Source organism: Homo sapiens, chromosome 17 (genome assembly GCF_000001405.40).
Source record: "Homo sapiens chromosome 17, GRCh38.p14 Primary Assembly".
Lineage (NCBI taxonomy): Eukaryota > Metazoa > Chordata > Mammalia > Primates > Hominidae > Homo > Homo sapiens.
The window spans coordinates 27497191-27521393 of NC_000017.11; the positions used below are offsets into that span (position 1 = coordinate 27497191).

The 24203-nt window shown below is 47.8% G+C and overlaps 1 protein-coding gene across 17 annotated transcripts in view, besides 10 other annotated features; it reads left to right on the forward strand.

The window, feature by feature from the left end:
• KSR1 (kinase suppressor of ras 1) overlaps positions 1-24203 on the forward strand; it is a 169988-nt gene that overhangs the window by 40743 nt on the left and 105042 nt on the right. The window lies entirely within an intron of this gene.
• Positions 6597-7796: an enhancer, noted in NCBI's record as "CDK7 strongly-dependent group 2 enhancer chr17:25830813-25832012 (GRCh37/hg19 assembly coordinates)". NCBI's record gives its function as "activates an origin of replication core promoter dependent on BRD2, BRD4, P300/CBP, MED14 and CDK7 cofactors, with strong dependence on CDK7, by STARR-seq in HCT116 cells {active_cell/tissue: HCT116}" and the evidence as "EXISTENCE:reporter gene assay evidence [ECO:0000049][PMID:35650434]".
• Positions 6993-7287: an enhancer, noted in NCBI's record as "tiled region #10172; HepG2 Activating DNase matched - State 5:Enh". NCBI's record gives its function as "activates a minimal TATA promoter and a strong SV40 promoter by Sharpr-MPRA in HepG2 cells {active_cell/tissue: HepG2}" and the evidence as "EXISTENCE:reporter gene assay evidence [ECO:0000049][PMID:27701403]".
• Positions 9182-9779: an enhancer, noted in NCBI's record as "H3K27ac-H3K4me1 hESC enhancer chr17:25833398-25833995 (GRCh37/hg19 assembly coordinates)". NCBI's record gives its function as "activates a minimal SCP1, AML or CMV promoter by ChIP-STARR-seq in naive H9 embryonic stem cells {active_cell/tissue: H9 hESC(naive)}" and the evidence as "EXISTENCE:reporter gene assay evidence [ECO:0000049][PMID:30033119]".
• Positions 9483-9692: an enhancer, noted in NCBI's record as "active region_11906". NCBI's record gives its function as "activates an Ori minimal core promoter by ATAC-STARR-seq in GM12878 lymphoblastoid cells {active_cell/tissue: GM12878}" and the evidence as "EXISTENCE:reporter gene assay evidence [ECO:0000049][PMID:35858748]".
• Positions 14381-14909: an enhancer, noted in NCBI's record as "H3K27ac-H3K4me1 hESC enhancer chr17:25838597-25839125 (GRCh37/hg19 assembly coordinates)". NCBI's record gives its function as "activates a minimal SCP1, AML or CMV promoter by ChIP-STARR-seq in naive H9 embryonic stem cells {active_cell/tissue: H9 hESC(naive)}" and the evidence as "EXISTENCE:reporter gene assay evidence [ECO:0000049][PMID:30033119]".
• Positions 16196-17040: an enhancer, noted in NCBI's record as "OCT4-NANOG-H3K27ac-H3K4me1 hESC enhancer chr17:25840412-25841256 (GRCh37/hg19 assembly coordinates)". NCBI's record gives its function as "activates a minimal SCP1, AML or CMV promoter by ChIP-STARR-seq in naive H9 embryonic stem cells {active_cell/tissue: H9 hESC(naive)}" and the evidence as "EXISTENCE:reporter gene assay evidence [ECO:0000049][PMID:30033119]".
• Positions 17041-17883: an enhancer, noted in NCBI's record as "OCT4-NANOG-H3K27ac-H3K4me1 hESC enhancer chr17:25841257-25842099 (GRCh37/hg19 assembly coordinates)". NCBI's record gives its function as "activates a minimal SCP1, AML or CMV promoter by ChIP-STARR-seq in naive H9 embryonic stem cells {active_cell/tissue: H9 hESC(naive)}" and the evidence as "EXISTENCE:reporter gene assay evidence [ECO:0000049][PMID:30033119]".
• Positions 22193-22342: an enhancer, noted in NCBI's record as "active region_11907". NCBI's record gives its function as "activates an Ori minimal core promoter by ATAC-STARR-seq in GM12878 lymphoblastoid cells {active_cell/tissue: GM12878}" and the evidence as "EXISTENCE:reporter gene assay evidence [ECO:0000049][PMID:35858748]".
• Positions 22193-22958: a biological region, named in NCBI's record as "H3K27ac-H3K4me1 hESC enhancer GRCh37_chr17:25846538-25847174".
• Positions 22322-22958: an enhancer, noted in NCBI's record as "H3K27ac-H3K4me1 hESC enhancer chr17:25846538-25847174 (GRCh37/hg19 assembly coordinates)". NCBI's record gives its function as "activates a minimal SCP1, AML or CMV promoter by ChIP-STARR-seq in naive H9 embryonic stem cells {active_cell/tissue: H9 hESC(naive)}" and the evidence as "EXISTENCE:reporter gene assay evidence [ECO:0000049][PMID:30033119]".

The window sequence follows — 24203 nt, forward strand, 5'->3', positions numbered from 1 at the left end:
GTTATCGGTAACCCATTTCATTCTTCCAGATGGTGAGTGAAGGACCTTAAACTCCATACAGAGAAACAGAGGCTGAAGCTGGGGAAGATTGAATAACCAGTGCCAGGGTGGGCTTCATCCTCTTATCGTGGGACCAGCTGTCCCAGTGACTTTCACTTGTCGGTACTGCAGTCCTTTCTGGAAAATGTCCTGGGACAAGGATGGTGCCCAGATGTGGCTGCATTAATTACTGTAAACCCCATAATGAAGAAGATGTCTCCTTACAGCCCCCTTTCAGTCCTTGAATGGCCTCTAGGAGAAAGTCTGAATGTGACCTCCCTTTCTAAAAAGCAAGGAGTGGGACCAGGAGGAAACAGGCCGCAGGATCCCGGCCTTCTGCAGGCAGTGGGGCCCCAAATATATAATAATGTTGTTTTGTTTCAGTTATGCTTGTTTTTATGGAAATCTTCTGTATGGCACAGATACTAGTGTCTCCTTTATGGCAATGAGATAGTTTCTTTTTTAAAAAGTGAGTAGATTTAAGAGAAAATATTAAATAATAGTACTGGTGGCATATGCCAGACTTGATGAACAGCCCATGTTTGAGAAACCCTGTTTGGCTGCAGCAACACATGTGCAGCAAGGAGGGCCAGCAGTATTGGTGAGGAAGCTCCAGGAGTGACTGAGAAAGAGATCTTACTGGAAAGTCTGGCAGAGTCAGTGCGTGCACAGCAAGACCGTCACGGTGGCAGTTTCTTTCCGGGATGGGCAGGCAGGTTTGTACAGGTTTTGCTGCAAAAATGAGGAGTGTGTGTGCATGTGCATACTGTTTTTTCCTTCAGTAGCAGTAATATTTTACCCTTAAAAATGCCTCTTGAGGCTGGGAGCGGTGGCTTATGCCTGTAATTCCAGCACTTTGGGAGGCTGAGGCAGATGGATCACTTGAGGTCAGGAGTTCGAGACCAGCCTGGCCAACATGGTGAAACCCCGTCTCTACTGAAAATACAAAATTTAGCCGAGTGTGGTGGCGGGCGCCTGTGGTCCCAGCTACTCGGGAGGCTGAGGCAGGAGAATGGCATGAACTCGGGAGGCAGAGGGGCGGAGGGTGCAGTGAGCCGAGATTGCACCACTGCACTCCAGCCTGGGCAATAGAGTGAGACTCAGTCTCAAAAAAAAAAAAAAAAAAAAGGCTCTTGACCAACCAACTCTACTTACACACAACTTGATGTGACAATTCTATTTAGATAATTTCAACCACAGGGAAACAGCTCAGGAGTTTCCAAGTAAAAAGCCCAATGGGGAAAATCTCCTTTTCAAATTCTCCCACTTTCCGGACAGTCCAGTGGTTCTCAAACTTTTGTCATTGTCAGCATTGCTTGGGGAAGCTTATAGAAGATGGAGGACCCACCCTGCTGCACCCAGCTAGGCCTCTGTGCGCTGTTTCTCCCAGGGTGATCCCGATAACACTAGTGTTTGAGATCGTGGCCCAGGTTGTGAGTCCCAGCCCTGGCTGCCATTAGAATTTCCTGGAGACTGTTAAAGCTATTGAGGCCTGGATCCCACCCTAGCAAAGCCCCACTGGAATCTTGGGGTGGGGCCTGGGCATTGGAATTTTTAAAATGCGCCTCAGGTGATGCGGTTGTGTGGGCAGGTGGAGACTCACTGGCTTTGATGGAGACTCTTAGGGAAACTTTAACGAACATGTGGGAATGCTTTGAGGAAGAAGCAAAGGGCGGCATGAGGCACTGAAAGAAATGAGTGCAGCTGCAGAGGAACCCTCAGATCTGAGTTAGGTTTTGAGGACTTCTATGAAAAAATGGAATTAGAAGTCAAGTAAGCCAGGGTGAGTGGGAGAGCAGCACCAGCCTGTTGGTTTTAGAGCAGGGCCAGGAGGGTTAACAGCTTCAGGATATGCCAAGGGCATCAGAAGGGTTCTTGAAGATTTGTTCAGAGCAAGAGGAACAAGGGTGCGATCAGCCTGAGGCAGAAGCCAAGCAATACACCATTAACTCAGGGAGGTGGAGGGAAGCAGCGCCTCTCTGTTTTCTGTTGGGCCCCTGGGCAGCAAGTGTAATCCAACCAGGAGCAAGAGGGAACTGAGGCAGAAACCACAGTCTGCTTTAAATGAAGTCCACCCCTAGGACTTATTTTCCTGGGCACTTGGGAACCTGGTTATTACCATCACAGGGTGGTTTTATCAGTCAATTGAAGTAGCTAAGAAGGGAGATCAAGGCACCGGACAACCAGAGGGGGCAAAAATTATCCCAGCTTTTGGGAAATTAGGAAAACGTGAATTCCAGAAACTATAGTCTGCTAAGGCTGGGCTTCATTTCTAAGAAATTTCCAGAAAGCATTATTAAAGCAGTTGCTTTGTGAGCACATGTTGAGCCCAGTCTGGGTCAAAGTGATGGCCCCTTCCTATTTTCAGAACAAGGTGTGCCAGGCTAGCCAGGCCTGTTCTGGTAGGTGGCAGACAGCCGGCCCTTGGCAGAGCTATTGGCAAGGCACTCATGATGTCATCTTCATGTGCTCCCCACAGTGAAGATGGGTCTGGCTCTCAGGTAAGCCTTCAATAATGTGTTAGTGAAAATCCTGTGGAGAGACGGGGACTGAATGAACTATTGTGTGTCAGAGTTTAAAATTCATCAGCCACCACCAAAGCAGAGGGGGTGTACGAGGCCTTCTGTTTGGAAGGGTGTCAAAGGGAGTTTGTTGCAAAGTACTGACTGTGGCAAGCACATGGTTCATTTGAGTGCCTGTTATCTGAGGCTGGTCTGGGAGGACTGGCAGCGATTGTAGGGTGGAGTCACCTGCCACATCTGCACCAGTGCTGCTGTCATCTTGAGAGTGGACTCGTGTCAGATGGGAGAAGGCACCTTCGGCGTCTGCCGTTCTGCGTTATGGCATCACCTTGGATAAAGGCACATTACTGGAGACCCAGGTCTGGGGGAGCTGAGCCAGGATGGATGACCAGCAAGCTTATAAAGAGTGCAGGGGTCAGTGGGACAAGGGAGGTTCCGTGCAATGCAGTGGGTGTAAAGCTTTGTACCTGGTCAGAAGCCTCCTAGAAATGAAACCCTTGAAGCCTTCCCTTGAGCATTAGGGTCCAGAGTGGCCCTAGTGATCTTTAAGATGATGAAAGCTGATGTTAGAAGTGATGTTCCCAAGGCCACCCAGCTGCTAAGGGGTAGCTGTGCAAGTACTGACGGGATAGTGTAGGTTTGATGGTATGAAAAGACAGGTTTCAGCTGCTGTCATGCTCCAGAAGGCTCTATGGAGGTGTGGTAGCCAGCAAGGACAAGGACACCTTGGGCCATAGCAATACAGGTTTGATGCTTAGCCATGCACCTGGACCAACCAGGCCTCATTGAGATGTTCATGTTCTGTTCTGGGTACCACATTTTATTTTTAGCTTATTTGGTTAAATTAGAAACTAAAGTTGTTTTGGAAGAATATTTTAAAGTTCTAAAAGTAGCGTTACGACAACTGAAAATTTGGGAGAAATTGAGGAGTACACATTGGAAGAGATGTTGACAAACTTGTGGGTCATTGGGGTGCAGAGTTATGAGAAATAGGAGGTTTGTGGAGGAAGGATGGCACTCACCACCTTCAGGGATTGGGGCCCTCTGCGAGTAGCGGGGGCAAAGGGTGCTGCTGGGTCCGGACCCTGACTCTGCCAGGCCTTGCACCAGCCCCTTTACATGGGTTGACTCCAAATCCTTGGCTTTATCAGGAGATCAAGCTTATGTGAAGCTCCAGGATGCAGGATTCATAACAAAGGGTATGCAAGTTATGTGATAATGACAATGGCGGATGTTTTTCAAGCCCTTCCTATGTACCAGGCATTGTGCTAGGTTGCATGAGCTCCAGGATACAGAATTCAGACCAAAGGCTGTGGGAGTCTGTAACAGTAATTGCTGATGTCTGTCAAGGCCTGAGCCCTTCACTTTGTGCTAAACTCCTTTCATACATTGTTTCATTTAATCCTTATTGCAGCCCTGTGATGCAGTATTTAGGCTTGTGGTTGCTTTAGAGTCAGGACCTTGACCAAGGCTATATATTAGGTCATCAGGAGTTGTCCTAATTTTCTTTTTCTTTTTTTTTTTTTTAATTTCTTTTCTTCTTTTTTTTTTTTTTTTTTTTTTTTTGAGCTGAAGTGCAGTGGCTGTGATCTTGGCTCACTGAATCTCTGGTTCAAGTGATTCTCCTGCCTCAGCCTCAGGCTGCAGAAATTTGCATAATTAAGTAAGAGTTGAATTTTAATAGCTGAGACAATGGAGAAAATGTCTCCAGGGCATTGCAGAGACCTTCGTGGCAGCCTCTCCCATCACAGGCCTGGAGGCCTAGGAGGAAAAAATGCTTTTTGGAGGGCAAGCCCAGGACCCTGCTGCTGTGTGTAGCCTCAGAGCATGATGCCCTACATCCCAGCTGCTCCAGCTCCAGCAATGACTAAACAGTAGCTGGGATTACAGGCATGCGCCACCACGCCTGGCTAATTTTTGCATTTTTAGTAGAGATGGGGTTTCACCATGTTGGCCAGGTTGGTCTTGAGCTCCTGACCTCAAAAGATCCGCCTGCCTCGGCCTCCCAAAGTGCTGGGATTACAGGCGTGAGCCGCTGCACCCAGCTTGTTATAATTTTCATCACAATGATTGCTGTTCCAGACACTGCTAAATACTTTCCATACATTGTCGTTAGTTCTCATAATAACTTGATGGAGATTTAGGAAACATTTCGAGGTAAAGGAATTGAGGGTCAGGTGGGCTGCTGTAGCAGAGCATGCAGACTTTGCACAAATTACTGAAAGTTGTCCCTCAGGTGGACTGTGCCAGGTACTGGGCTTGGTGGAGATTATGTAGGCTGGATTGTGCCTCCATGCCTGCCTCCTTGATTGGTACCTTAGCCAAGGGCTCAGACTGCATGACAGCTGATGGCTCTGAAGAGTGAGCAAGGGGCTGAGAACTTGGCAGAGCCTTTCAGCTAGGAAATGGCAGAGCTGGAATTCCAAGCCAGGTCTGCTGATTCTGGAGCCAGTTGTCATAAACCACTGTGGAGGGGAGAAAGCTGTATGCCTGTCAGAAGCATCCGGTGTAGCCTCGACCATCCTGAGGCTTGTCTTTGGAAGTGGTCCTGCGAAGACAAGGTGGCTGTCCATCAACACCGCAAGAGGAATCCCCCAGTGGGTGGAGGGAGAGTGGGCTTGATGACCCTGAAGTATCCCCTCCCTGATTCCGAGACCCTGTCTTACATGTGAGGCCATCTGTCAAAACTTAATGTCTTAAAATATGACATTTTCCCTGTACAATCTTTTCCTTTTGCTAATTTAAAATCGACTCCATCCTCTCCTTCCATTCTCTAGCCCTTGGTGAAAAGGCAGAGGCCGGCCTCAAGCCACGTGCAGCCTCACAAGTGGTCATTGTAGGCTTGTGGGTGACCTAGTCCCATGTCAGGAGCCCTCCTCGGGGGCAGGCACTGGTTTTTCATCTTTCTGTGCTTGCTCACACTTGAGCGTCAGCACATTCCAGAACCTACCTCAACCGTAATCACGGCACAGATGTCGTTTGACTTCAGTTGTTGGGGGCTGGGGTGCAAATGGCAAGAATTCTGCAGCAGCCTTCCAGCGTTGGATTCCTGTCTGGGGCCAGGATGACCTTGGGCCAAGCGAGTGGCTCCCTTGGCTCTCTGAAAAAGAAATCTCTGCCTGGCTGTTCCCATCACTTCTCACGGACAGTAATGCTAGCAGCTGTGCTGATGGTAACAGTAACACAGTGAGCCCCAGTTACTGACAGGCAATGCCACTGCTGCCTCACCCTTACCATTTACCATGTGCCTGGGCTGAGTGCTCTAAAGGCATTTGCCTGTTGAATCCTCACAACGACCCTTTGAGGTGGGTACCAGCATTCTTATATTGCAGATGAGAAAACTGTCTCTTAAGAGAGTTCTGAGTAAGATATTTTGAGGGAGGAGGGTGATGTCATTATTTTCTTTGCTCTTTAATAAAGAGTATACTTCTTGTAAGTCTAAAGCAGAGGTTCTCAACTAGAGGTAATTTTTGTCCTCCAGGGACATTTGGCAATGTCTGGAGACATTTTTGGTTGTCACAATTTGGAGAGGGAGTTTGCCACCAGCATCTCGTGGGTAGAGGCCAGGGATGCTGTGCTGTTCAACACCTTGTGATGCACAGGACCTCCTGCAACAAAGAATTATCTGTCCCCAAATGTTAATAGTGCAAGGTTGAGATTCTCTGATCTAGGCCGGGTGGCTCCTGCCTCTAATCCCAGCACTTTGGGAGGCCGAGGTGGGCAAATCACTTGAGGTCAGAAGTTCGAGATTCTCTGATCTAAAGAGAAGACAAAATCATATTCAGCCTTTTGTCCAGTTTGGTATCGTTAACTCCTGCTCAAATCCTGCTTGTGGTCGTTGGTGCAGTTCCCATCTATTTCTGGTTGTCTTTCTACTGAGCACGTGGAAGCATTGCACTCTCCTACCTTCTTCAGTTAGGTGTGGATGTGTGACTTGTTTTGACCAGTGAACTATGAGCAGAAAGAAACATGACATTAAAGTGGGGAAACTTTTAGTGCTCATGTGATTTGCCACATTCCTTCCTCCTACCCTCTCGTGCTCCTAGATGGTGGAGGCGCCGTCAGCCTAGTCCTGGTGTAAGGAGGTGCGGGTCGGAGCTCCTAGTCAACTCACGATGAACACGTAGTATGAATGAGAGGTAACCTCTGTTGTTTATACTACTGGGATTTGGGAGTTGTTTGTTACCATGGCATAGCCTATGCAATCCTGACAGATGTACTCTAAGAAGAACAAAACAAGAAGTTGGCATTTGGATTAGGCAGGTGGGTATCTGGATACTGTGGATAAAAGCCCAAGCATCCAGTATTTTATGGGTTGTTTCCTATAGTGAAGATGTTGTGCTTGGCCCCGTGGGAAGTATAGAGACCCTGGCAGGTTGCTTCATAGAAGAAATGGAAGGGAGTTTAAAAGATGAGTCTCTGAGGTCTGGAGAGGTTTAATGACTTACCCAAACATCTGTGAAGGCACCTGCCGGGATCCAGCAGCTGTGCCCAGCCTGGCTCTGTGAGGCTGGTCCGCAGTCAGCCGGCCATTCTTACCCACCTCAGTCAGTGGTTTCAACTCAGTTGCAGGTCTGTGAATATTTCCAGGGCAAAGTCTGTCTTTACCTTCCCAGGGCCTCTCGCAGGCTGTGGCACAGTCACGTTTGTTGAGTGAGTTGGGATATGGGGGGGAGAAGGCAGACAGTGAGCAGTGCCATGATGGGGTGCAGCTGTGGGGTTTGAGGGTTCCGGGGAAAGAGATGACCTGAGGAGGCCGGCAGAGACCCTGGAGCCTGCTTGAAGGGTGGGTACAGACGGGGATGGGGCCTGGGCAGGGAGAAGGGCTGGACATTTCTCACTTCTCTCTGAGTTTCACATGGGCAGGAAGCACCGCAGTCCTGAGGGACTCCATGAGGGAGGAGCACTGTGGCGGGGGGATGCCTTCCCTGAGAGGACATCCCTGCCGCCATCTGCCTGAGCAGATGCTGCCTTACCTGAGTAGCACGTGCCCTTGGGAGGGCTGCTCCTTTGCAGGAAGTGCACTGAAGGCTCATGAATTATGCTCATCTCCTTCAGCGGCTTGGAGAATAATGATTTAGTGCCAGGAGCCGGCTTATCCTGGCCCAGAGCCAGAGCTGTTCCCAGCAGCACAGAGCAAAGTCAGCTTGACTTACACTCCCAGGTGCCTCAGTGTTCCTGTCTATAAAACGGGCATAATCTGGAAAGCTCTGCCTGTCTTCCACTAAGGTAAGCATGTGGGAGGGCTCTGTCCCATAAAGCCAGGGAAAGATGCCCTTATGGGTCAGAAAGGGATGGTTCAGATCTTCAGGGAACTCTTACCTTGAGAGGGATTGGGACGGGAGCCCTGGGACAGCTCTGATAGCACCTGTGGAATCAGTACCTGCTGACTATGGCCACGGGCTATGACACTTCAGGAGGATAGTCCGTTTGAATCCTCTGGGAGCTGGCCAGTGAGAGGGAGCTGTTCTCTCACCTCCTGGTTCTGGGTGCTCCCAGACCGAGGGGTTGACCTGAACTCGTTGTGGGCTCTACAGTGCAACCCGTTTGCCCCTGAGATGGCCATCCCCCAGGGTCCACAGGCCTGCGCATGCATGCTTCCTGTGACTCTGCCCCTTCTCTGTCCTCATTAACCCAGGAGGGATTAGTTCTTCATCCAAGAAGGTGCCTGCCTGCAGTCTCCACCTGAGCTGGGTGATTTGCTCGGATGCAGGCAGCAGAGGTTTGTTATTAGTGCTCTAAGAGAGGCAATACGGCAAACAGCCCTGCTCTGGAGCCAGACTGCTTGGGTTTGAATCCCAGCTTTGCCACTCCCTGGCTGTGTGGTCTTGAGCAAGCTGCGATCTCCCTGTGATTCAGTTGCTTTATCAGTAAAATGGGGATGGTAGCAGTATCTCCCTCAGGAGAGTTATTGTGCGTCTTAAATAAGTTAGTGTAATTACCATAGGCAGAATGCTTATACCAGTGCTGGCATATCATACACATGTTTGCTGTTAATATTTTTTGTTGATGTTTCTTCCATTTTGTACCAGGTATTGGTGTCACCAAGGGGTTGCCATCAACCATGCTTCCAGTTGGTTCTTTGATAGAAACAGTGTATGTGTTTTCAATCTTACTTGAAGCACCGTGGTTCTAGTCTCAGCCCACCCACTATGGGGGAGCATGGGGCATCAGACCTCAGGGGTGACCAGGATGGCTTGTGCATAGTTGATGTTCTTGGTACTTTTCTCATTTTTTTCTTTTCCTAGAAGATAGCCTTTAAAAAACGATGCATTGCCTACACACCATAAGAATGTAAAAACAACTGGTTCAGGGCCCCCACCTAACCAAACTTTTCATATTTCTATGCTCCCTCTTTGTCCTTGTCTGCAGGTGGATATGTATCTGATTCACCTCCTCTGCCCCAAAAACACCACGGGAAGGCAATAGTGTAGTAATAAGGTCGGTTTTGGGTTTTGGAGTCTGAGGGGCTTTGGCTCAGTGTGGCCTTGGCCCCTTGCTGGCTGGACCATCTTGCTTAAGTGAATTTTAGTTTGAGGAACCTCACCCTCACTTTCTCTCGTAGCATGGGAATAATACTACCCTAACTCATGACTCCACTGCAATAATTACAAGAGGTAGTTTAGGTAAACATTCTAGCTCGATGTGGTTGTTTAACAAAGCGTAGTTTTTATTATTAGTTGTAGATGTTCACTGTAGAGTTTTTAAGCACTGCCTGATACTCGATTATGTGGATGTAGTTGGATTTGTCCAACCTGTGTCTGGGGTTGCACATTTCGGTGATTTCCACCTCCCCTTCTTGGTCATCTCTGGAGAGAGCAGACTTGCGGGCCGGCAGCTGGGAGTCCCCTGGAGTCTTCCCTTTGCAGTTGGTAACTTGGTGTTCTTGGGGATTTGTCCAGCCTTTATCTCCCATCTCCCCCTCCCACCCCCTCCTCCCACCCCCAAGCTGCATTTTTCTGTGGTGCGAGTGTTGGTTCAGCTCCCTAGGGGATGCTTTGGGCTCCGCAGGTGTCATGAGTCATGGAAACCCCCAGCCCTGCCCAAGCCTGAGGAAGACCGAGGGGAAAGCTTTTTCATAGCCTGACAAACAGGTATTTCCTGTCAGCCCCCAGCTGTCAGAGAAGTTGGTCCCTCTGGTAATTCAGAGAGAAGAGCCGCACACATGCCAGCCTCCCACCCCTCAAATCTCGGGATCTGATGAAAAAGGTCAGCTGCACTGTCTAGAACTTTCTGCAATAATTGAAATGTTCATTCTGCTTTTTCCAATGCGGTAGCCATCAGCCACATGTGGCTTCTCAGCACTGAGGCTGTGGCTAGTCCTAGTCGGGGTGTGCAGTGTAAAAATGCTTGGTGGATTCAGAAGACAATATGAACAAAAGAATGTAAAAGATCTCTTTAGGCTGGGCAAGGTGGCTCATGCCTATAATTCCAGCACTTTGGGAGGCCGAGGCAGGCAGATTACGAGGTCAGGAATTCAAGACCAGCCTGGCCAACATGGTGAAACCCCGTCTCTACTAAAAATACAAAAATTAGCCAGGCCTGGTGGCAGGGGCCTGTAATCCCAGCTACTGGGGAGGCTGAGGCAGAAGAATTGCTTGAACCCGGGAGGTGGAGGTTGCAGTGAGCCAAGATCATGCCACTGCACTCTAGCCTGGGTGTCAGAGCAAGACTTTGTCTCGAAGGAAAAAATATATATATTTTTAATGTTTTATATTTATTTTTGTATGTTTTGTGTGATTATGTGTTGAAGTGATATTTTGGGTATGTTTGATTAAATAAAATAGATCATTAAAATCTTTATTGTTTGGCTTTTTTTTTTTTTTTTTTTTTTTTTTTTTTGAGACAGAATTTCACTCCTGTTGCCCAGGCTAGAGTGCAATGGTGCGATCTTGGCTCACCGTAACCTCCACCTCCCGGGTTCAAGTGATTCTTCTGCCTTAGCCTCCCCAGTAGCTGGGATTACAGGCATGAGCCACCACGCCTGGCTAATTTGTATTTTTAGTAGAGAAAGGGTTTCTCCATGTTGGTCAGGCTGATCTCGAACTCCCAACCTCAGGTGATCCACCTGCGTCAGCGTCCCAAAGTGCTGGGATTACAGGTGTGAGCTACTGTGCCTGGCCTTTGTTTGGCTTTTAATATGGCTACTAGAACATACCAAGTACATCTCTTGGATAGTCTTATTCTAGAGCGTGTAGCCTGGCAGCTGCTGTCCTGCCCTAGAAGGGGCTATCTTGGCTTCAGAGGGGAGAAATGAAACCCATCTGGGTACCTCCCTAATCTCCCACGTGCCCCCAGTCTCCTGCTCCCCAACCTGCCACCTTGATTACAAAGGAGCAAGTGCCCTGGGCAGTGTTCACTGTGGCAGCCACCCTGCTAATACATTACTCTGGGGTCTTGGGTCAGCAAGTTAGGTTACTGAGGGAGCTTCTGTTGGGGTGGAGTGGCTTGTTAGGGTGGACTTTGGAGGCGTGGACATGGGTTTGAATGTGTCTAACTGGACAGAGGAAGCCATGAGCCCTGTGTGGAATCCTGGCTCTGAGCAGTTAGAATAATGGTTATCATTGACTGGGTGCCTATGGCCTGCCAAGCCCTATGCTGGGAACTTTTATCATCCCTCTGAATCCTCCCACTGACCTGGAAGGTGCTGTGATGTCCATTTTGCAGATGAGGATCATCAAGGGCCTAAGTTGTAACATACTAGCCTGGAGTCCTGCTATTTGTAAGTGGCAGGAGCTTGTAGTGAAGCCCCTCTCTGACTCAAGATCATGCTCTTTGCCCCACATCACTCCTCTCTGGGCTTATTGCCTCTTCTCTCCAACCCTCAGTTTCCTGATGAAAACAAAGGGGACTGGACACTTGCTCACAGGAGGTGCAGGAAGGGCAGGGACAAACACAGGCTTGAGATTCAGCCTGTCTTCACTGGGCCCTCTTTCCTAGGTTTGGGCCTGAATTTTTTTTATTTATTTATTTATTTATTTATTTATTTATTTATTGAGGTAGAGTCTTGCTCTGTTGCCCAGGCTGGAGTGCAATGGCGTGATCTCGGCTCATTGTAACCTCCACCTCCCGGGTTCAAGTGATTCTCCTGCCTCAGCCACCCAAGTAGCTGGGATTACAGATGCCTGCCACCATGCCTGGCTAACTTTTTGTATTTTTAGTAGAGATAGGGTTTCACCATGTTGGCCAGGCTGGTTTCAAACTCTTGACCTCAGGTGATCCACCCACCTTGACCTCCCAAAGTGCTGGGATTACAGGCATGAGCCACCGTTCCCAGCCTGGGCCTGAAGTTTGAACAGACCCAGCAGAGAAGCCAGGTGCAGAGGGTTTGGGCAGCCAGGCCTGATGCTCCAGTGGATCCTCTGCAGAGTGAGCAAGGAAAGAACAGTTTCCTACATTCCAGGCATTTTTCTGCAACCCTGCTTCCTAGGCCAAGTGGCTTTTAAATACCAAATAAATATTAAAGAAGCCAGAGCAGTCTGGGTGCAGTGGCTCATGCCTGTAATCCTAGCACTTTGGGAGGCTGAGTCAGGAGGATCTTTTTTTTTTGTTTTTTTGAGACAGAGTTTCGCTTTGTTGCCCAGGCTGGGGTGCAGTGGTGCGATCTTGGCTCACTGCAAGCTCTGCCTCCCGGGTTCACGCCATTCTCCTGCCTCAGCCTCCCGGGTAGCTGGGACTACAGGCACCTGCCACCACGCCCGGCTATTTTTTGTATTTTTAGGAGAGACGGGGTTTCACCATGTTAGTCAGGATGGTCTTGATCTCCTGACCTCGTGATCTGCCCACCTCGGCCTCCCAAAGTGCTAGGATTACAGGCGTGAGCCACCACGCCTGGCGACTCAGGAGGATCTTTTGAACCCAGGAGTTTGAGGCCAGCCTGGGCTACACAGGGAGAGTTTGTCTCTAGTTTAAAACAAACAAACAACAACAAAAAACAAAATAGCTGGATGTGGTTGTGCATGCTTATAGTCCCAGCTACTTAGGAGGCTGAGGTTGGAGGATTGCCTGAGCCCAGGAACTTGAGGCTGCAGTGAGTTGTGTTTGTGCCATTGCACTCCAGCCTGGGCAACAGAACAAGACCCTGTCTCAAAAAATAAATAAATAAAATAAAAGCCAGAGCCCTTCATTGTGTGTGAGAGGCCACGTTGGGCGAGCAGGGGCAATACCCAGCCTTGGCTTTAATCTCCTTACCTAGAGGTGGGCAGACTTGGCTCAGAGGTAGTGGAGTTCATCATATAATCCTAGTTTTGGGGGCCTGAGGAGGGTAGTACCCTAAGTGCCAGCACTTCACCTTGTCCCTCCTCTTGGCACTTGGGAACTGGGGAATCTCTCTCTTCACACAAGTTCACCTGGGCCCTGCCTCAAAGCTTGCTGCACCTTGTCCGGAGAGAACCTTTCTGGTTTTCCCTTTTTCCATGGACTTCTGATCCTTTCTTCTGAGGGCCGTGAGTTGTGGCAGAACCAAGACTCTGGAAAAACCATCCCTGATTAGACTGGGAAGGTGGCGGTGCTGCCCCACCAGGGCTCTTCCTGACCGTGGTTATCCCAGTGACCTCTGGCACGTCACTTCACCTCAATGAGCCTCAGTTTCCCTCATCTCTAAAAGGGAGTGTTGGTGGTGATAAAACTTATTCACTGAAGAGTTATAAGGACCGAGTGAGTAGACGTAAAAAGGCTTGGTTGCCAATAAAGCATGAGGTACCAGCATGAGTGGTCATTTTGTGTAGTTTAATGGATGGTTTTTAGACACGATGAAATTGGAAAGAGTGTGGGAGCTAGAGAGAAATCTAAGTCCTAACACCGAAGAGCTGAGTGGCCTTAGCTTAAGGTAATTTAGGTAACTTAACCTCCCCAAGCCTCAGTGCCATCGTCTGTGAAATAGGGCATTTGAGAGGATTTGAGTGAGGCTGCACTGCCGTCCGTTCAGAGCAGATGCTCTCTTGCTGGTTCATTTTTCCAAATGCATGGGTTGGGGGTATGATGTGCTTGGCAGAAGCCTACCAAGAATGCTTATCTAATGTCTTTTAAAAGTGTACAGATAACCATTTCCTGGCTCAATTCTCTGCAGCAAATGCACTTTGATCCTCCTCTGAGCATCCCGCATTGCCTGCCAGGCACCCTTCTGAGCCAGAGTTATCTTGGTATGGAGCGCCGTACCACCCAGGAGCCATGTAGCATGTTCCCCATTCCTTGATTCTCACAACTGTCTTGAGAGCAGGGAGAAAGCTATTATCCCCATCTGAGAAGACAGAGTCTCAGAAGGTGGGGATGAGCCTGCCTGTGCACACTGCACACAGCTCTTGGAAAAACAGTCTAGAAGCTCTAAAAACACCTTTTCTGTCCACTTCCTCTGCTGTTTACTTCTTTCTTAGGAAAAAAGTGAGAAGGGTGAGGAGTTTCCTGGCTAGAGATTCTAGTGCATCTTGCTCCTGCAGAATGTTTGGCTGTGAAGAGGTAGGCCAAGAAACGTGGGGACGCCTGGCTGGGGCTGGAACACTGGCAGGCAGCTGACTGGACTGTCATGACATCTCAGAGCCAGAAGCCTCTTACCTTTCTTCCAGTCTGAGTGCTCTGGAGGTGCACTTGCTCACCAGTGTGGAGAGGTAGAAGGCTGGGAGAGTGTGGAGGGTGGGTGCTGCTGCGCATTGAGGGCTGTCTGTACTTGGCTGGGAAGAAACTGAACAGTGCCAGAAGGTAGGGAGGGGGAGCATTGTTGGTCACTTGGAATCTGGAACTGAGAAAGACAAGAAAACAGCCTGCTCTCTGGAGCAGTTAGACCCCACTCAGGAGGGGCCTGTGGAGCGTTGGGCCAAGTTTCCTGCAGGACCTGGGGCGAGGTGGGAGTGGGATGCTTCTGGGCTGGCAGGGCTGGGCTGTGGCTCCATGGCTGAGGTATCTGCATAGGGAGAATGTGTGATTTAGAGGCAGCTTGGTCAGCTTAGGAAATGGAGGTTCCTGAGGCAAACCTTTTCAGTGCCCAAGCAGGGTTGCCTAGGTGAGGGGGCTCTCAGGGTCAGACTCCTCTGCATCCCGTCTCACCGGCGAGACCGTTGGTGTGATGAGCTGCAAGCATCCAGGTTTGTTTGCTTCCTGCCACACGTGGCAATTCTTAAAACTAGTTTTTGGTGTTAGGATAAGCACACCCGACAAACATCTGCTGAAGTGTAAGCTTGCTCATCAGGGAGAATACTCTGATTGATGTGGACTTTCTAGGATAGCAGAGCCCAAGTGGCTTTGTGCAATTGATAGTAGTCATGTGTATGTTAAGTTAGCTTGAGCCGACTCTTCAGGGCTGGAGTAGACCAGATCCTGAACCCCTTATCCCCTCATCAAGGTCCTGGTGTGTCTCTAGCCTTTGTTTTGATGACCCCAGCAAAATTCCCTGCTCTTTCTCCCTGTAGTGACTTCTTTGTTGCTTTCTGAGCTAGGTTAGGTTTCCATCACTAATCTGTGGAGAAAATGTGTATATCCCAAGCCATTTCCTCCTTCAGAGGAGCTTATGATTTTGGCTTGGAAAATAGAGATGAATATACTCGAAGCATCCAGGGAAGGATGAATTGCTGTACCCTTGCCAGTTTCCAGTGGAACATAAATGTGAGCATTTCTTCTCTGAAGAGGAGGATTCCAGGCATCCTGGAGGGGTGATAAAGTGGCATAGGATTCAGGTTCAATCAAGATGTATTGAGAATGGCCAGGTGCAGTGGCTTACGCCTGTAATCCCAGCACTTTGGGAGGCCGAGGCAGGTGGATTACCTGAGGTCACAGGAGTTTGAGACCAGCCTGGCCAACATAGTGAAACCCCGTCTCTACTAAAAACAAAAATTAGCTGGATGTGGTGGCGTATGCTTGTAATGCCAGCTACTCGGGAGGCTGAAGCAAGAGAATTGCTTGAACCTGGGAGGCGGAGGTTGCAGTGAGCTGAGATCACGCCACTGCACTCCAGCTTGGGCAACAGACCAAGACTCCGTCTCCAAACAAACAAAAAGATGTATTGAGAACCTACGGTAGGCTGGGTTTGTTTGGATCTAGACATCATTCCTTTTCATTTTTACTTTGTTTATATTGTAAAATATTATACAGACTCAGAAAAGTACACAAAACATAAATGTACAGCTTGGTGAATTATCACAAAGTGAGTACCCTTGTAACCACCGTCCAAGAGAAGGAACCCTGCCAGCGCCCCCGGAGGCTCCCTGATCATGACCTCTTCTCTTACTGCCACGCACAACATTAGCTTGACTTTAGTAGTAGTTGCCTCCCTGCTTCTTAAAATAATTATTTACCCAAAATATGAATCCCCAAACACTGTAAATTTAGTTGTGCCTGTTTTTTGAACTTCCTACAAGGATAATCATGCTGTATATATTCTTTAGTGTCTGGTTTCTTTCATGCAACATTGTTGTGAAATCTGTGCATTTTCGTTGCATGTAGCTGTCATTTGTTCATTTTCATTGCTGTGTGTTATTCGATTGACTGATTAGCACAATTTTTCTATCCATTCTCCTGTTGAACATTTTGTTTGTTTACATTTTGAGGATATTCCTAAAAAATGCTGCGGGCTAGATGCGGTGGCTCATGTCTGTAATTCTGACACTTTGGGAGTCTGAGGCAGGAGGATCACCTGAGCCCAGGAGTTCAAGACCAGCCTGGGCAACATAGCAAGACTCCTTCTCTATAAAAAAAAAAATGCTGCTGTGAGCATTGTTGGACATGACTCTTGGTTAGCCTGTATTGTGTATGTGCATGCACACACTTGTGTTGGGTGTACCTGGAGGTAGCATCACTGCATCTCATCCCATCTTCATATTAACCTTGTAAGCCGATGGGGAGAGTGGCTCACCTTAGCAAGGGTGTGTCTGCTGGGACCCCAGGGAAGCTTTGCTTACTGTCCTATGTCTATACCCCTTGGGTTGTCTCTGAGCTTCTCTTGGGGACGCATCGTTTTCCAGGTGTTGTGAGGAATTACAGCAGTAAAGCTTGCTTGATGCTTATGTTTAACCCCTGCAAGGCAGAATACGGGAGTTGCATGTAGCCAGTGTCGGGGGCTGGTGAAGAAGGGTGTAGGGCTGTGTTGGGGCACAGCCTGCTCATCACACAGGTCCTCCAGAGTGGACCTGAACGCTCAACCCCTTTAATCTTTGGTGTCTGCCTGCAGTGTTTCCTCCCAAGTGGGTTTGGTGCCCTTCCAGCATATTGAGTGGAGAATCGTCGGAAAGGCTGAGGCTTCAGCCGAGTCTCCAGGCCACTGCTTGCGGTGCAGCTAAGCTCTTAATGTGTTTTCATAATCAAAGCAGAAAGGTCCCATTGTGGCGCTAACGCCTTTGCCATAAAGCACTTTTTGTTTCCTAACAAAATTCCAAGTCTCAAAAGCAAGTCAGCTTAGCAAAAACACAATACCAATGAATGGCCATTTGCCACTTGCAACAGCTAGGCAAGCTCCCAGTAAATAACACTCGGTCAGCCTGTGTTTTATTGGGGCACCCCAAAGACATGAAAATACTTTGCAGGCTACTTGGAGGAAAACAGTAAGATATTAGGAGTCATATTTATCACCGGGGAATTATAACCTGATATTAAGGTGCCAGTTAGGGTTTGCTTGGCTATATATTTCAGAAAATTAAGTAAGGCTGGGGACAGTAGCTCACGCCTGTAATCCCAGCACTTTGAGGGGCTGAGATAGGTGGATCACCTGAAGTCAGGAGTTCAAGACCAGCCTGGCCAACATGGTGAAACCCCGTCTCTATTAAAAATACAAAAAACTAGCTGGGTGTGGTGGCGTACGCCTGTAATCCCAGCTACTCAGGAAGCTGAGGCAGGAGAATCCCTTGAACTCAGGAGGCAGAGGTTGCAGTGAGGTGAGATTGTGCCATTGCACTCCAACCTGGGCGACAGGAGCAAAACTCCATCTCAAAAAAAAAAAAAAAGAAAAGAAAAGAAAAGTAACACTGGAAGTAAGGGATTATTTTTCTTATGAAACAAAAAGCCCAGAGGCTGACAGTCTTACGGCTCCACGTTGCTGCCTCCTGTCTTTTTGCTTTATCATCTTCAGCACAAAGCCTCATACTCCCAAGATGGCTGCTATATCTCCAGGTTTCACATTTGCATTTCAGGTAGGAAGGTGGCTTTTGTCAACTGCCTCTTATCCATTTTAATGAGGAAAACTAACTTTCTGGAAGTACCAAGCAATAGGCTTTCCCTTACATTTCACTGGTTAGAACTGGATCACATGGCAACCACTGGTTGTCAGGGTGGCTGGGAGCTAAGCACATTGTTATTTGAACAAAATCAGGGATTCCCGAGGTTAAGGAAGGAAAAGGAGGATGGACATGGGGAGGCAGCTAACAGCAGGTGCCATGATTCACTGGATAAAATAGATAGGAAACAAGCTGTTTCATAGAAAGCGAATTTATATTCAGTAACTGAAACATTCTTGTAAGCACTAAAATGTATTTTAATCATTTTAATTGCAGTCATGTGCCGCATTGTCAACAACAGACCACGTGTATGACAGTAATCCCATAAGATTATAGTACTGTATTTTTGCTGTACCTTTTCTGTGTTCTGATATGTTTAGATTTGTCTTACAAATGTATTACAGTTGCCTACCATACTCATTACTCTGATGTTCACACAAAGCCAAAATCACCTAAGGACATGTTTCTCAGAACGTATTTCTGTCGTTACACGCCGCATGACTGTAGTTTGAGAAGACACATTTTCTTCTAAACAACTTAATGACTTTTTCGGTGTGGCTGGGAGTCTCAGTAGGCTCTACTGAGGTGTGGTTTGAACGGCCACTTTGCCTCTCATATAATGGTCCCAGAAAATTATGCTTTTTAAATCTTGGGTCTGCTTCGTAGTTTTTTTTTTTTTTTTTTTTTCATTTATTCCATTATTGCTGCCAGGTCTTGTGGCCTCTGTGCATTTACCTCTAGAAACCTGGTTCTTTTCACCTTAAAAATGTTCTGCTTTACTATAATCTATGGATGGGAGAAACCAGAGAACCCAACATGGTAGAAATGTGGATTGAGGAAGGAGGCTCTGGGGGAAACCATAGACTCTCCTCTAGGTTAGGTAGGGCTTTCATGAGCAGGCTTAGTCTGTTTTATCAGCTCTGATCTCTTCTGGCCTATCAGATAAAAGAATTTGCCTTTTTTTTTGTTAAGGGAAGGAGTTTGAAATCTTCTCCAGTCAAGGCACTATTTAACAATTGGCTCTCCATGGCTGACTTAATGCTAATTTTCTCATCACCATTCAACATAGCTTCCTCCTTACCTCATCTGTCTTTGTGAATGCAGCCCCCATTTTATAAGCACAACCTCTAGAAAACCTGGTTTTATCTAACTAAGAGACCTATCACATCCAGGAAGTTGCCAAAGGAGAAAATCGAGAAAAGGTAGTTGTGTGACGTTGGGCTAGTTACCTGATCTCTGTCTGTTTTCTCATCTGTGAAAGAGCAATCGTAATGATTGCCTTATGGTCATTGTAAGAAATGAGGATGAGTTAAATGGAATAGTGCCTAGCATGTAGTAAATGCTCAAAAAAGCTATTATCATTAATATTATCATCATTATCACAGATGGGGTGTGTTAATCACAGATTAACACTGATGTGGGATTGGGCCACCCTGGGAGGGTGTTTGGACAGAGGCCAATGTGAGCCATATTTACCTGATGAGAGAGATCAATCCATTGTTGGAACAGACGTCTTCATGTGCCTTTGTCCTCGCTCCCTTTCTGTGATAGTGCAGAGTAGAGTCTCCCTCCCCCTCCTCCTCCTCCCCCTTTCATCCTTTCTTCCTTCCATCATTTTCATATCTGATTACAAGAGTAATATATGTTCCTTGTAGAAACTTTGAAAAGCATGAAAGAAAATTGAAACACTCTTAAAAATGTATATATAGAGAGAACTTTTCGAAGCTGAGATCATCCTGTACTTTTTGCTCTATAGCCTGCTTTCATTTTTTATTTTCTTTCTTTTTTAATATTTAAAGAGATACATTCTGAGCCAAATGTGAAGACCATGACCCATGACAGCTTCAGGAGGTCCTGAGAACATGTGCCCAAGGTGGTTGGGTTACAGCTTGGTTTTATACATTTTCGTGAGACATAATGACTAGTCTAAACATTAAAACAGAGATCTTAATACAAAAGAGACCCTTTGTGGCAATGAGATACCAAATTCCAACCTGACTCTAGTATAACATCTTAACATCACATGACAGATAGCAGGCCCTGAAAGAAAGAAACAAAAACAAAAGTATTTTATCCTAAAATAGATTTCTTTGATATATTTTGAAATGGCCCTGCAAAGCTGTCTCTTGTGGGAGAAATTTACATTCTGTAGAGAATCCCCTTCCCTTTCTAGGTAATTTTCTGATCCTGAAAAGATTAACTGAGATCCTAGCACCTTTTAAAGGTCTGAATGGGAAACATTTGTCGTCTATTGCCTTTAAGGGTGGCTACCTATGAGACTTCATCTACATAATAAGAACCTTGTGCTCCACAACCCCTTATCTTAACCCAGACACTTGTTTCTATTGATTCCAGGTCTTTAATAACTCTTTTTCTTTTTATTTTATTTTTATTTTTTTTTGAGCCAGAGTCTCACTCACTCTATGGCCCAGGCTGGAGTGCAGTGGCGTGATCTCGGCTCACTGCAACATCCACCCCCTGGGCTCAAGTGCACACCACCATGCCTGGCTAATTTTATACTTTTAGTAGAGATGGGGTTTTGCCATGTTGCCCAGGCTGGTCTCGAACTCCTGATTCTGAGCTCAAGCAATCCGCCCACCTTGGCCTCCCAAAATGATGGGATTACAGGCTTCGGCCACTGCACCTAGCTGATAATAATTCTTTCATTTTCATTGGACGATAAACTATGAGTGTTATTGAGTACCGCTCCTGTGTAGCATTTCATCAAATGGATTTCAACCTGGAGTTGGAAGAGACCACTGAGGATTGAAGGTAGATTGGTTTTCCTGGGTGAGCTCAGAGAATCCACCCTTGGCCCACTTCTGTATTGTAAGACTTGCTTTTTTCTAACTGAGGGATGGAGTGCATTGCAGTTGGGTCCCTATGTTATGTAATTGTGGGGGTTGTAAGCTTGGATTGTAAGTGGAAGATTTGGGGACTTGGGATGATTTCAGATATAGGCAAGAATGGAGGAAGAATGATTGTAAGCTAAAGCAGTAACACGATTCAAGCTATTTATTCATTTGGTCATTATTGAGGACCTGCTGTATGCCACCACATGAGGCCAGATGCTCTTGATACAGAAATAAATAAGAGGACCTTCTAGTTTCAGACAGCATCTGTCTCAGTGAGTGAAGACTTAAAAAACCAATTCATGCAGTAGGCTGTTAGAGATGCTCTCATTGAAATCTATCCTGTCCCCAAAAGGAGTCTGAAGGAGGGAGTTGGCAAGGGGGGAGCTGGCAAAGGCTTTGTAGGGAGCAGGGCATTCTAGGTGGAGAGAGCCTGTAAACAAGGCCCCAGAGGTGTGAAACAGCTTGGATGGATTAGCTTAGCAGTAAAGAAGCAATAGCTACACCTTTTCATTTCTCAATCCACTTAATACTGGGTGGAGTAGCTGCACTTGTGAAATTTGGCGAACCTTAATATTCTTAAAGAAAAAGGCAGAAGGTATGTATTTCGAAAGCATCCTATAGTTTTCTTTCCGTCCTTTCTTTTGGAAAGTGTAGCTCACCCCCTGAAAAGCATAGAATTGGTTTCTGTTAACTCTGGTGTTTGCTGTCTGCCTGCCCACCCAGTGCCCATTCATCATCTGAGTGCCCCCTCTCTACAAGGCACTGTGTCGGGGAGCTCAGAGCCTGACCTTGCCAGGCTCTTGCAATCTGGGTCGGTGGACATCTATGTTGATAATTGATGTTCTGTGCTGACAAGTTCTGTGGGAAAGTGGACGTAGGAGCAAGCACTGTGTTGGCAGGAGTCGGGAAAGCTTAAGGCTGCGATGCTCAAAGGAGAGGATAAATGGTGGACACTCCCTAGACCCTCCTCCCTCTCCACCAAAGGCATAGCCTTCATAGTGCTGGAAATGTTCCATATCCCTCCATTGTGCCGTGGTGGGAAAAAGACAGGGAAAGAGCCCTCCAGGGAACTGGCATTTGTTGTGGCCTGCACTGGCTGGTTCCTGGAGTAGGATGTGTGCATCATTAGCCCTGCATAGCACAGTAGCTGTGAGGAAGTGACCGCTCAGGTGTTGGGTGATGTGTCTAGGGTCACATTGCCTAGAAGAGTGGCAGGGCTGCGCTTGCTGCAGGCTTGCTTGATCCTGAAGCCCTGGTTCCTCTCACCATGCCCTGGGCTGCAGAACTCACTTCTGGGCCTTGTAAGGCCGCTGGTGGGTAATGGTGACAGTGGGAGGAGTAATACCTGAACAGAGGCTGCCCTAAATAATGGCTTGTGGTGGTCAGCGCCTGGAAGCCCTGGGTGTGGTTCCCTGCAGAAAGGAATTCTGAGGCCTCAGAAATGAGGTTTTGTTTTGTTAAAATTGTCTTGGGCACCCACTCTCCAGTTGCAGGTCAGGGCCTGCCCTGTGGCTCAAGTGTGGGGCCACATGGAGGTTGAATCAACTGCTCCCTTAGGGCTCCCAGGGGTGGGAGGACAGGAAATCCCTCCAGGATTGTTTAGTTCAGCAATACTCCTCCCCACACCCGTGTTACAGCTGAGGAAAGGAGTCCCCTTCAACCCCCGGCATTTAGTGATTCTATCATGTCGGCATAGTTTCTTCTCTGACCTGGCCATGGTGCGTTTGATGCCAAGAATGGGCAGCCTGAGTGGTGATGGTCAGTCAGTGCCACTCTGTCAGTCCCGGGACCCCAGCTGTCCCCGTTCTCTGCACAGCCCAGCCTTGGGTGCTTGCTTGTGGGGCCTGCAATGTGAGTGTTTAGAGCTGCCAGATTTGTGGGGGATTTCTGACACTGTTAAAACCAAACAAAAAGCAAGGAGCTCTACTGAGCTGTATGATTATTTAGGCTCTAAATTGGGACGGGTTGTGGTGAGGGACCTAGAGTCTAAGACCAAAGGAAAGTCCCTGGTCCATGGCACAGGCTTTGAATGTGGGCCCCACCACCTGAGAGCTGTGAGCTTTGGGAGGAGCTCTTCATCCAGCCCAGCTGGGAGTGGGGATAGTAAAACTGTTTCCCCAGCCGGGAGTGGGGATAGTAATACTGAACCTGGCAGGGCTGCTGTTAGACCATGGGTACTCAGTGCAGCAGAGTCTCTGTAAATGGCAGAGGTGGTGCTTTGCAGATGGGAGAAGGGAATAAACCTGTAGCTGATGTCAGGCCCTTTGTTGCACCCTTTATACCGAATGAATTATTTCATTTCACTCCATAACACCTCTGAAATAGGCTACACTGTTCCCATTTGACAGACACCAAAATGAGTTTCGGAGAGTTTCTGAAACTTGTCCAAGTTCATGTAGCAAATGGAGTTTAACTTCCAAATTCTTTCCACCTTGCCATGAGAAAATTTCCATTCCTGCAGAAGATGGCCTTCTATAAAGGGCACCGAAGGGATTTAAGTCACACCTTGGGACACATTCCTAGATCCAAGTGGTTTCTGTATGTTATAGGCCAGACAGTAGCAAATGCAAAGGTAAATTTATGTGCCTGTGGAGGGGGAGAATTAATTTTTTCCCCTCCCTGGACTTTAACTCTGGAAAGCTTAATCTTCTAAAGCTTAATCTTTAGAAAGGGCTCAGAAACTCTGCTTGGTGCGCATAATAAGTGTTGTGTCCCCAAGGCATTTGTTAGATAAAACGAAAATTAAATAAATAAATAAAATGCTAATCGTGCCACCAGCCCTGAAGTCTCCTTGTCTCTGCTGGCTTTTCCGTGCAGAACGGGCACAGTGGAGCTTTGTTCTTCTGCCCCTTTGTCCGGACGAGGCCTCTCAGGGGCTGGCTCACAGGCAGGGAGGCCAGGCTGTGCCCGCCCAGGTTTCCCAGGCCCCGCTGCCTCCAACTCTCACTGGCCTCCTTTTCCCGAGGGTGGGGCGGCCCCCTGCCAGTGGATTGGAGGGGTGCTGCCTTCCCCCTTACCCATTTGTCCCAGTGGCCAAAAGGGGCTGAAAGCAGGTAGCTGGAGGATGCGGGAGACGTGTGATTCCCTGTTTGCCAGTTGGCCTAACTGGAATCTTCCTGAAATCATTGTATCCCTGTGAGCAGACAGCAGGCACTATGGGCTGTTTGGCCTTGGGTTCGCTTCCTGCCTTGGGCAGTCTGTGGAATGGGGCCCGGTCCTCAAGCACTTGTGGCTGTCACCAGCAGGAAGTTTGTTCAGCACCGTGGTTCTGAACCCTGTCCTCATGTTTGAATCATGGGTGCTTTTAAAACACATCCATATCAGGAGCACAGCCCTGGGCCAGCTGACTTAGTACCTCTGGGGTGGGAACTGGCCCAGGCATCTCTATATGTATACCCGCTCCAAGTGATTCTGATACACAGGGAGGGTGGAAAGCCCCTGGTTAGGATACCCAAGCTGAAAGGACTGCTCAGGAGTTGCTTGTTCCACCCTTCAGTTTACCCATGAGGACAGTGAGTTGACAAAGGCCATTCCTTTTTTTTTTTTTTTTTTTGAAACAGGGTCTAGCTCCATTGCCCAGGTTGGAGTGCAGT